The sequence below is a fragment of the Homo sapiens genome, chromosome X, assembly GCF_000001405.40.
Source record: "Homo sapiens chromosome X, GRCh38.p14 Primary Assembly".
In the NCBI taxonomy this organism is placed as follows: Eukaryota; Metazoa; Chordata; class Mammalia; order Primates; family Hominidae; genus Homo; species Homo sapiens.
Window position 1 is genome coordinate 48,166,350 of NC_000023.11, and position 11,936 is coordinate 48,178,285.

At 45.0% G+C, this 11,936-nt stretch overlaps 1 pseudogene; it reads right to left on the reverse strand.

The window, feature by feature from the left end:
• On the reverse strand, window positions 11,374-11,674 carry S100A11P5 (S100A11 pseudogene 5; annotated as a pseudogene).
• Window positions 11,675-11,936: the final 262 nt, after the last annotated feature.

Sequence of the window (11,936 nt, forward strand, 5' to 3'; positions counted from 1 at the left end):
CCCCAGTTGTTTGCTCCTCTCATTAATGTGCGCACAGGTCTCTGCACGTGTGTGAATATTTCTTTAGGAAAGATTCTTAGAAGTTGAATTGCTGTGTCAAAGGAGTCATTTATTCAACAAAACACTAATGAGTGTGTTCTCGTGCTGAGCGCTGTTCTAGGTGCTGGAGAGACATCAGCGAACAAGGCAGGCTGATGTTCCTGACCACCATTCCGGAGGAGGGTGTTTCCAGTTGTTTGTTTGTTTGTTTGTTTGTTTGTTTCTTCTGGAGATAGGGTCTTGCTCTGTCCAGGCTGGAGTGCAGTGGCATGATCATAGCTCAATGTAGCCTTGAACTCCTGGGCTCAAGTGATCCTCCCACCTTGGCCTCCTAAATTGTTGGCATTACAGGCATGAGCCACCACACCTGGCCTTCAGTTTTTATTTTGATAGAGACTATACACTTCAGTCCTGGAGCAGGATTCTGCAGCAGGTGGTTGGGCAATTTGGCCTTCGCTCTCTGAACAATTTTCACTTTCTAGGGCTGGGACGGTCCATTTGGGAGTATGTGGGAGGAGACACAGATAAAATCGTCATCTGGGGAACATGGAGGGATGAGGAAGATGCGTGCACTGTAGACCCTGTGATGGCCAGGGAATGGAAGAGTTCACTTAGTCTCCATGCAGGGGATCAGTAGTGGGAAAGTCCTCTGGACAGAAGCATGAGACTGCCCATCAAGGGTCTCACCACCCAAGGGCCTGGGGGCTGGGGTGGGGACCATGATTTGGGAATGGGACAGTTCTTTCTCACAGGTACCACTGCACGGTGCAGAGGGAAAAGAGTTGTGGGGAAGGGAAGGGCAGAGGGGAGTCTATTTTAGAATAAAACATTTGTGTGTGAATGGAGACATTAAAGCTCCATTCACAAGCGATGGACTTGAAACACCAGCCCCAGGTGGAGGCAGGATTGGAGCTGTTTTGACCGTTCATGGCCCATCACCTTGGCCTCCTGGTTCTCCCCAGCCTTGGAAGGAGGACACTATCATCATTATGCCTATACGACAGATGAGAGACAGAATCCCAGAGAGATGGTAGGCATCTTATCACAGGTCCTACAGCTGGCAAGTGCAGGAGGAGCTGAGTTTGGAGTTCATTGACTCGAAACATTAAGGAGGACAGGAGTGTGGGGTGGAGGGAGGGAGACTTGAACAACCCCAGGGTTCTGTCCCCAGTCACAAGGTAGAGGCTGTCAGTTCGTTTTCCCAAGACAAGGATCACTTGGACAGAGAGAGTGCAGGGAGGGAGAGGCAATCGTGGCCATAGTGGGGACAGTGGGAGACAGAGATATACAGGGTGGGCAGAAGAGGTGGCAGGCAAAGAAGCAGGGGATACCCAAGGCCAAGTGTGGGCTGTCACAGCCACCAGAGGGAGAAGGTGCCAGGAAGGTGTCAGGAAGTCTCTCCAGGAGCAACAGAGGTTCCCCAGATCTGTGAGCATGCCCTACCTGGCACTTCAGGAAGGGGTGGCTGCCACCCAGGTCAGTGTGGACGTACCTCTACCTGTGTCTCAGAGGAAACAAATTCTATTTTATCCCAATATAGTTCTGTATTACACAAATGTAGCATTCAGCTACTAGATATCGAGTGCCTTATCCTCCATGTAAATACAGCAGAGGATACCCTAAAAGAGATACTGAAGGATTTGATTTTTCTTTCTCCCTGGGAAGATTGAGTCCATAAGTTGGGTCCCCCAGTCCACAAGACAGGTGCAAGAAAGGGTGGCTGGAAGATTGTGAGTCATGACAGGGAACATTTTTCCTTAGGTTCCTTGGGTATATAAGATTCCCAACTATCTGTCTATCATGGACAGATAAAGAGTGAACATGGTCCCCTCTCCACAAATGTGTTTCTCTCCTTGATTATTACTGTGAAGGGCTGGAGTTCCATCAAGTTCTGATACATTACTTTATTATTATTATCACTATTATTATTATTGTGAGACAGAATGACACTCTGTCGCCCAGGCTGGAGTCCAGTGGTGAGATCTCGGCTCACTGCAAACTCCGCCTACCAGGTTCAAGTGATTCTCCCACCTCAGCCTCTCAGGTAGCTGGAAATCCAGGCACATGCCACCAAGCCCAGCTAATTTTTTGTATTTTTAGTAGTGACGGGGTTTCGCTGTGTTAGTCAGGATGTTCTCAATCTCCTGACCTCGTGGTCCACTGGCCTAGGCCTCCCAAAGTGTTGGGAATACAGGCGTGAGCCACCACACCAAACAATACTTCCATTTTTTGTGTTTTTTTGAGACAGGATCACACTCTGTTGCCCATGCTGGAGTGCAGTGTTGCAATTACAGCTCACTGCAACCTCAATCACCCAGGCTCAAGGGATTCTCCCACTTCTGCTTCCGAACTAGCTGGGACTACAAGTACACACCACCACACACAGCTAATTTTTGTATGTTCTGTGGAGATGGGATCCCACTACATTGCCCAGGCTGGTCTCGACTTCCTGGCCTCAGGCAATCCTCCTGCCTCAGCCTCCCAAAGTGCTGGGATGACAGGTGTGAGCCACCTCGCCAGGCCTTCACTTTCTTTAACGAACAATTATCAGAGTTTCATCTTAGAGGCAAAAGTGGCTACTGCCGGCCAATCTGAGTGTGGTGTTGGAGGGGAATCTGGGTGATTCAGACGTTTTTAATGAACTTTTAAATTAGCCTACCTGATGACTATCCTAAGGCCCTTTCCAGCTCCGTGTATTTTCGTTCAGGGTTTGGAGTTTTTTTGGAGGCTTTGTTATAAAGAGCATCTCTTGCTCAGGCGCAGTGACTCACGCTGTAATCCCAGCACTTTGGGAGGCCGAAGCAGGCAGATCACTTGAGGTCAGGAGTTGGAGACCAGCCTGACCAACATGGCGAAACACCTGACTCTAGTAAAAACACAAAAATTTGCCGGCCTTGGTGGCAGGCGCCTGTGAATCCCAGGTACTGCAGGGGCTGAGGCAGGAGAATCACTTGAACACGGGAAACAGAGGGTGCGGTGAGCCGAGATCATGCCACTGCACTCCAGCCTGGGCGACAGAGTAAGTCTCTGTCTCAAACAGCATCTCTCGCCTACAGTGATTTGAGCTGTGGTCTTGTCTCCTTGGGTTTCTCTATCAGTCTGATCTCATCTACTCTGTCTCCCAGGAATGCCTCAGTATTCCTGGTGGACCACTTACACGCTTTCCTATTTTCCTCTACTGTTAAGAATTGACCCTTGAAAACATTTTCATCCCAGTTCAATGGAATGTGAGTGGGGCACGGGATCTATCTGCCATCTTGCTCCAATCATCTGGTTTTAGATATTTATGTACTTTTGTCACTATAGACGTGTCTTTTTTCTCAATTTGATTTTCTAAATGGTTATTACTGATATGTAGAAAACCTATCTATTACCGTATATAATATTTTGTTACCTGTCTGGGTGCATCTTCCCCTGCATTTTGGCACAGGACTCAATCTGTTTTATTCTCAAAAAAAAAAAAAAAAAAAAACTGATAGCCTGGGTGTGGTGGCTCATGCCTGTAATCCCAGAACTTTGGTAGGCCAAGGTGTGTAGATCACCTGAGGTCAGGAGTTCGAGACCAGCCTGGCCAAGATGGTGAAACCCTATCTCTAAAAAAATACAAAAAAAAAAAATAGCCGGGCCTGGTGGCGCAGTCCTATATTTCTAGCTACTCGGACAGCTGAGGCAGGAGGATCACTTGAACTCAGGAGGCGGACATTGTAGTGAGCCGAGGTGGCACCACTGCACTCCAGCCTGGGCGACAGAGATTCTATCTCTAAAGAAAAAGAAAAAGAAAAAAAGAAAATTCACTTCACAGGCAATAGATAGTTATAAAAGGATATTTTATGGAAGATTTCATAGGGGAGACTGATGGAAAGAAAGAAGTATATATTTTACAGAGCTGAGCAATTCACTGCAAAAATCACCAGAACTGCCTTTTTCTCCAAAATTATTACCCATAAGCTATTCTACTACTGGTTCTTCTAGTCCTTCTCTCTATTCCAAATCCTCAAATTGTCCATTTTCTTATTGCAATAATTTTCCTCTGTGCAGATCTAGGTCCTCCACAACACTTAGCACTCTCTTCGAGTGTTTGCATGCCCGTTGTTTTAGCTCAGGTTCCCAAGGAAACAGAATTTGGGCCATTCCGGACACCTCTAGACAGACTATACTGAGAAACCATGCCTGGAACGGTGCATGAGGAGAGGAGAGTAGAGGGAATTTACATACCTGGCTCTCACTCCTGGTTCCTTTTCTTAATGGTCAAAATTTATCCCACAGGCACGAGCTCCCCTACACTTCTAGATTGCATCATCTGCCCCCTTGGCAGCTGTCTGGGAAGCCAGATCCCACACTTTGAAGTGTAGTGTTTCATACACTCCAAAAGTGGTAGCAGAGGCCAGGCGTGGTGGCTCACGCCAGTAATTCCAGTACTTTGGGAGGTCGAGGAAGGTGGATCATGAGGTCACGAGTTCGAGACCAGCCTGGCTAGCATGGTGAAACTCTGTCTCTTCTAAAAATACAAATTTAGCTGGGCAGGGTGGCGTGCACCTGTAATCCCAGCTGCTCGGGAGACTGAGGTAGGAGAATCACTTGACCCCGAGAGGCAGAGGTTGCACTGAGCTGAGATTGCACCATTACACTCCAGCCTGGACGACAGAGCAAGACTCAATCTCAAAAACAAAACAAAACAAACAAACAAACACAAAAGTGGTAGCAGAAGTCAGAAAGTCCAGGTATGTAGCTAATTGTCCTGGTTGTACATCAGCAGCCAAGGGTGAAAACTAAATACTCCCAGGCAAGTCCTAAGTTCACCGAGTAACTGGAGTACCCATCTGTGTTAGTTAACTGCCTTTATCTGAAGGAAAAACAAATCTCATATCTCTATGACAACCAGGTGCTTACAGCTTGGAAGAAGTCACCTAGGCTAAACTCCCTTGGTGACAGGGAGACACGGACATCATCTTCCTCGATGTTCACATTTCAAAGAGATGGCACCAAGGCCCTGAAGAAAGACATTCCTAGGGGCCGGGCATGGTGGCTCATGCCTGTAATCCCAACACTTTTGGAGGCTGAGGCTGGAGGATCACTTGAGGCCTGGAGTTCAAGTTCAAGACATTCCTGGGTTCTAGGATGGCCAGAGGCTTACGTATCAAAGGAAGAATTTACAAACACAAATTTTCTCAAGGAAATGCTCTAAGGAAGGTGAAATGGAGAAAGGTTTCTTCTTCCCTTTTGGCAACAGGAAAAATTCATTTTTATGTTTAGTTACCCTTACAATTTCCCCCTTTTGTTATTGTTTTATAGGAACACTGCAATATTCTAATTATCTCCACTGCTGTTTCTATCTTTCTCTGTGTAGTTTACAGCCACCTAGATATCCAACAAGTCCATAGTAAGATGCAAAGCTAAGCAATTATCAAGATAATAATTGAATGATTTTTTTTTTCGAGACGGAGTTTCACTCTCATTGCCCGGGATAGAGTACAATGGTGTGATGTCGGCTCACTGCAACCTCTGTCTCCTAAGTTCAAGAGATTCTCCTGCCTCAGCCTCCTGAGTAGCTGGGATTACAGGCATGTACCACCACACCCAGCTAATTTTGTATTTTTTTTTTTACTGTTAATTTTTTAATACCTTTAGAATTATGTACCAGAATTCTATCAATTGATGACTCAGTTGGATCATCTTTCAATTTTGTTGAAAGCAAAATATTAGAAACCAGCTAAATCACAAAAAAAGTTTTTTAACTCAGTGTCATCTCTTTCTCACCAATATTTTTAAATGTCCCTTTACCAATTGTCTGGAGATTTTTTTCCAAAGTGCATTGGTAAGATTCAGAATGGATAAGAGATATATCTTTGTTTTGTCAAGTATGAAAAGAATAATTTTTGTTCTGTTTTGTTTGAGATAGAGTTTTGCTCTGTTGCCCAAACAGGGATTACAATGGCGCAATCTCAGCTCACGGCAACCTCTGCCTCCCGGGTTCAAGCGATTCTCCTGCCTCAGCCTCTGGAGTAGCTGGGATTACATGTGTGCACCACTACGCCTGGCTAATTTTTTGTATTTTTAGTAGAGATGGGGTTTCACCATGTTGGCCAGGCTGGTCTCAAACTCCTGACCTCAGGTGATCTGCCCTCCTCGGCCTCCCAAAGTGCGGGGATTACAAGCATGAGCCACCGCACCTGGCCAGAATAATTGTTTTTTTTTTTTTTCTTCCTGAAATATTATTCATTTACTTATCTTTGTGTCATCCTTCTATTTATAAAATTACTTTTTTTTTCTTTTTTTTTTCTATTATACTTTAAGTTTTAGGGTACATGTGCACATTGTGCAGGTTAGTTACATATGTATACATGTGCCATGCTGGTGTGCTGCACCCACTAACTCGTCATCTAGCATTAGGTATATCTCCCAATGCTATCCCTCCCCCCTCCCCCGACCCCACCACAGTCCCCAGAGTGTGATGTTCCCCTTCCTGTGTCCATGTGATCTCATTGTTCAATTCCCACCTATGAGTGAGAATATGCGGTGTTTGGTTTTTTGTTCTTGCGATAGTTTACTGAGAATGATGATTTCCAATTTCATCCATGTCCCTACAAAGGACATGAACTCATCATATTTTATGGCTGCATAGTATTCCATGGTTTATATGTGCCACATTTTCTTAATCCAGTCTATCATTGTTGGACATTTGGGTTGGTTCCAAGTCTTTGCTATTGTGAATAATGCCGCAGTAAACATACGTGTGCATGTGTCTTTATAGCAGCATGATTTATAGTCATTTGGGTATATACCCAGTAATGGGATGGCTGGGTCAAATGGTATTTCTAGTTCTAGATCCCTGAGGAATCGCCACACTGACTTCCACAATGGTTGAACTAGTTTACAGTCCCACCAACAGTGTAAAAGTGTTCCTATTTCTCCACATCCTCTCCAGCACCTGTTGTTTCCTGACTTTTTAATGATTGCCATTCTAACTGGTGTGAGATGGTATCTCATTATGGTTTTGATTTGCATTTCTCTGATGGCCGGTGATGATGAGCATTAGAGATGGGATTTCACCATTTTAGCCAGGCTGGTCTTGAACTCCTTACCACAGGTGATCCCCCCACCTCAGCTTCCCAAAGTGGTAGGATTACAAACGTGAGCCACCGTGCCCTGCCTAGAAAGAATTCTTAAATTCAGTATAATACTCACCTTGTCAGGGCTGGGGGACCTTTAAACACATCATAGTGGTTAATTGTGTCAAAGTCAAAATAAATTGCAGAGAGAAATCCCTAAATCAAATGCTGTATTTGGGAACCACAAAATTGCAATTCAGGACATACACACAGACTGGAGTGGTCTTCAGTATGTCCAACGAACAAACAGAAGTTGGAAGTTTTATTAGAAATAAAAATGTTACGTATTGTTTTGAAATGAGGCTCATTGGCACTGGAGAAGCTGGTTTGTTTGCACAATCAGCTTTCACATTCCCTCTTTTGATGAAGATCTTTCTTTGAAAACCTCACTGATCAGCCGTCTTAAAGTGAGGCTTCATTGTCACTCCATGCCAGGATGGACCCGTGCCGGTTGTCTTTGTCCCATGTCATGGGAAAGGTAAGGGAGTCTATATCAGGAACATGGGCCACATTTGAGCAAAAAAGAGGTCAGAAGGAAAAAAAAAATCAGGCATGTTTGTCTGGAGTTCAGCATCAAATTCCATCTTATTAGTCCCATCTATATTAGCAATCATCTTGAAGCACTAGGCCAACATTATCCTGTTGGGAGAACTGGCTGAACAAATATTACACAGGCAACAAGAACGGAGCTCAAAGATTATAATACAAAAATAATTAGCAATCGTTTTATTTTATTTTATTTTATTGCGATGCAGTCTTGCTCTGTTGCCCAGGCCAGAGTGCAGGGGCGTGATTCCGGCTCACTACAACCTCCATCTCCTGGGTTCAAGTGAATCTCCTTTCTCAGCCTCTCGAGTAGCTTGGATTACAAGTGCTCATCACCATGCCCGGCTAATTTTTGTCTTTTCAGTAGAGAGGAGGTTTCAACATGTTGGCCAGGCTGGTCTCGAACTCCTGACCTCAAGTCATCCGCCCTCCTTGGCATCCCAAAGTGCTGGGATTACAGGCGGGAGCCACCGCACCCAGCTATAATTAGCAATAATATAATAAATTTAGTTTGTACAATGATTTTGAACTAAGATCCCAAGCCTAAGGGCCACCAGCTAAACAAATCAAAAGACTATGGGGGAATTGAATGAGACAACCAGTTTGGTGAACTCTTTGTGTGGTCCATACATCAGACACAAGACTTGTTCCTTAAAATTTATGCAGTTTGGCTGGGTGCAGTGGTTCACACCTGTAATCCTAGCACTTTGGGAGGCCAAGGTGGGCAGATCACGAGGTCAGGAGATCGAGACCATCCTGGGTAACTCGGTGAAACCCCGCCTCTACTAAAAATACAAAAAATCAGCCGGGGATGGTGTCATGTGCCTGTAGTCCCAGCTACTCAGGAGGTTAGGCAGGAGAATCGTTTGAACCCGGGAAGCGGAGGTTGCAGTGAGCCGAGATCTCACCACTGCACTCCAGCCTTGGCGACAGTGTGAGACTCCGTCTCAAAAAACAAAACAAAACAAAAAAAAACAAAAATCTATGCATCTATGCAGTTTTAGCTTATAGGATTTGTAAACCAAAAATAGCATCCTAAGCACCCCTGCCCTTAACCATCTGAATGGACGTCCCCCTCAGCCAGGGCGCTTTTAAAATTAACCTGGGAGACTGTTTTAGGCCATGACAGGACGTGTGGGTCAGACATGCCTCATTATACCTCTCTGGCATCAACATCAACACAGACTTAAATCTCATAAGAAACATGTTACAACCTAGTCTCTCTGAAGCCTAGTACCTGAAGGCTTCCTCTGCAAATAAGAACTTAGGTTACCACAATCCTTTATCTTAACCCAGGCATTCCTTTCTGTTGATTCTAGGCATTTTTGTTTGTTTTTGTTTTGAGACAGAGTCTAGATCTGTTGCCCAGGCTGGAGAGCAATGGTGCGTTCTCGGCTCACTGTAACCTCTGCCACCCGGATTCAAGGAATTTTCCTGTCTCAGCCTACCCAGTAGTTGGGATTACAGGCACCTGCTATCACATCCAGCTAATTTTTTTGTATTTTTAGTAGAGACGGGGTTTCACCATGTTGGCCAGGCTCGTCTCCAACTCCTGACCTCAGGTGATTCATCTGCCTCAGCCTCCCAAAGTGCTGGGATTATAGGCATGAGCCACTGCACCCAGCTGATCCTACGTTTTTAGAAAAACCCAACCAATTGTCAGCCAGAAAATTTTTAAATCTACCTATAAGCTGGAAGCTCCTGCTGCGAGTTGTCCTGCCTTTCTGGACCAAACCAATGTATTTCTTAAAAGTATGTGACTGAGTCTCCATAAAATCTATAAAACCAAGCTGCACCCCAACCTCCTTGGGCAACTCAGGACCTCCTGAGGCTGTGTCATGGGTCATGGTCACTCCTATTTGGCTCAGAATAAATCTCTTCAAATGTTTTCCAGAGTTTCACTTTTTTCATCAGGAGACTTCAGGAACAGAGCAGTTTCTGTTTTTAGTAATTTTATGGGAAAAAGTTGAATCTAGTCTAGTCTATATATAGATAACAAGAACTGTGCTGGGCGCAGTGGCTCATGTCCATTAAACCACCACTTTGGGAGGCTGAGACGGGCAGATCACGAGGTCAAGAGATGGAGACCATCTTGGCCAACACGGTGAAACACCGTCTCTACTAAAAATACAAAAATTAGCTGGGTGTGGTGGCGTGTGCCTGTAGTCCCAGCTACTCGGACAGCTGAGGCAGGAGAATCACTTGAACACAGGAGGTGGAGGTTGCAGTGAGCCGAGATCCCGCCACCACACTCCCTCCTGGTGACAGAGCGAGACTCTGTCTCAAAAACAACAATAACAACAACAAACACACACACACACACACACAATAAATAAATAAGAAAAAAGCACAAGAACTCGAAGCAATGCAGAAAGCTACAATCTAATAACTGGTCTGTTAGAGCTTTTCTTTAGCAACACATAATTTTTCTCTATACATTGATCACTTAGGAATCTCAGATTTAAAAACCTTTTAAGGATAGAAAGTGAAACCAAGGCTGACTTTAGATTTCACCTACATTCTTAAGGTTCCTGGGCCTGCCAGAAAGTGACCATTTTTATTTACCCACTGTAAAGCTAAACACACTTGAAGTCAAGTGTTCCATGCATTTTGATGAAAGCCTTGGTAATATAACCATTTTTTTTTCTTTTTGAGACAGGGTCTTACTCTGTCACCTAGGTTGGTATGCAGTGGTGAGATCTCAGCTCACTGCAGCCCCCACCTCCTGGGTTCAAGAATTCTCCTGCCTCAGCCTCCTGAGTAGCTAGGATTACACATGTGCGCCACCACGCCCTGCTACTTTTTTTTTTTAAATTTTTAGTAGAGATGTGGTTTCACCATGTTGGCCAGGCTGGTCTCAAACTCCTGACCACAGGTGATCCACCCGCCTCAGCCTCCCAAAGTGCTAGGATTACAGGTGCGAGCCACCGTGCCCGGCCCTATAAACAATGTTTTAAATTGTATCCGTCTGTAAAGAGAGAGCAGATTTTTTTGTGTGTGTTTAAAAAAAAAGTGTGTCAGGTGCAATGGCTCACACCTAAAATCCCAGAGCTTTGGGGGGCCACTTGAGCCCAGAAGTTCAAGATCAACCTGGGCAACATAACTAGCCCCCATTTCTAAAAAAGAAAGAAAGAAAGAAGGAAGGAAGGAAGGAAGGAAGGAAGGAAGGAAGGAAAAAAGAAAAGAAAGAAAGGGAAAGAAAGAAAGAAAAAAGAAAAGAAAGAAGGAAAGAAAGAAAGGAAAGAAGAAAGAAAGAGAGAAAGGAAAGAAGAAAGAAAGAAAGAAAGAAAGAAAAGAAAAAAGCAAGCAAGCGAGAAAGAAAGAAAGGAAAGAGAAGAAAGAGAAGTGAAAGAAGTATGGTTTTATAACTACCTGCAGGTAGGGCCTGCACGAGAAGGTGGGTGTAGTTGAGAGAAGAAAAGAGGAAAGGAGAGGAGAGGGAGAGGAGGGGAGGGGACAGGAGAGGAGGGGAGGGGGAGGGGGAGAAGGGAGAGGGGAGGGGGTGAAGGGGGAGGGGTGGAAGAGCACCGGGGACGGAATGGTTTTATTACTACCTGCAGATAGGGCCTGCGTGAGGTGGTGGGTGTGCTGGGCTCAGGGGACCTGTGGGCTGTGAGGAGATGGTGATGGCGGGGCTGGAAGGAAACAGGGTGGCTTGGCAACCAGGCCCAAGGGATCCTCACATCTGCTTCTTGGAATGGGCAGCCTTTGAAAAAGAGTCATGGTAAGCCACAGTCACACCATCCATCAGATGCAGAAATTCTTGGAAATCTAGCTGCCCATCACTGGTGAGGTCCAGTTTCTTCATCATGTGGTCAAGGACACTGGGGCCTTCTGGTTCTTCGTGAAGGCATCCAGTTCTCTATTCATGAAGCTTGGGAACTCCGTCTTGGAGTGAATGCTATTGTAACCATCCTTTCCAGTCTATTTCTGGAAAACAGCAATCAGGGACTCTCTGTAGGGCTGGAGATTTTTGCCATGTTGGAGTTGAATGAGGCACCAAGAGCAGGTTTTTACTGGACCTGTGTAAATAACCATATTGGCATAAGAATATTTCCAAATAGTTTCAAATTCTGGAGGAATCGAGTAGAAAGAAAAAGCAAACATTTCCATCTTAGTTAACAAAAGTATACTTCACAAAATTGTTATAAACTATAGACAGTTTAACAGAGAAAATTTTCTCTTTGTTTTCATTTTTTTGAGAAAGGATTGTGCCCCGTCACCCAGGCTGGAGTGCAGTGG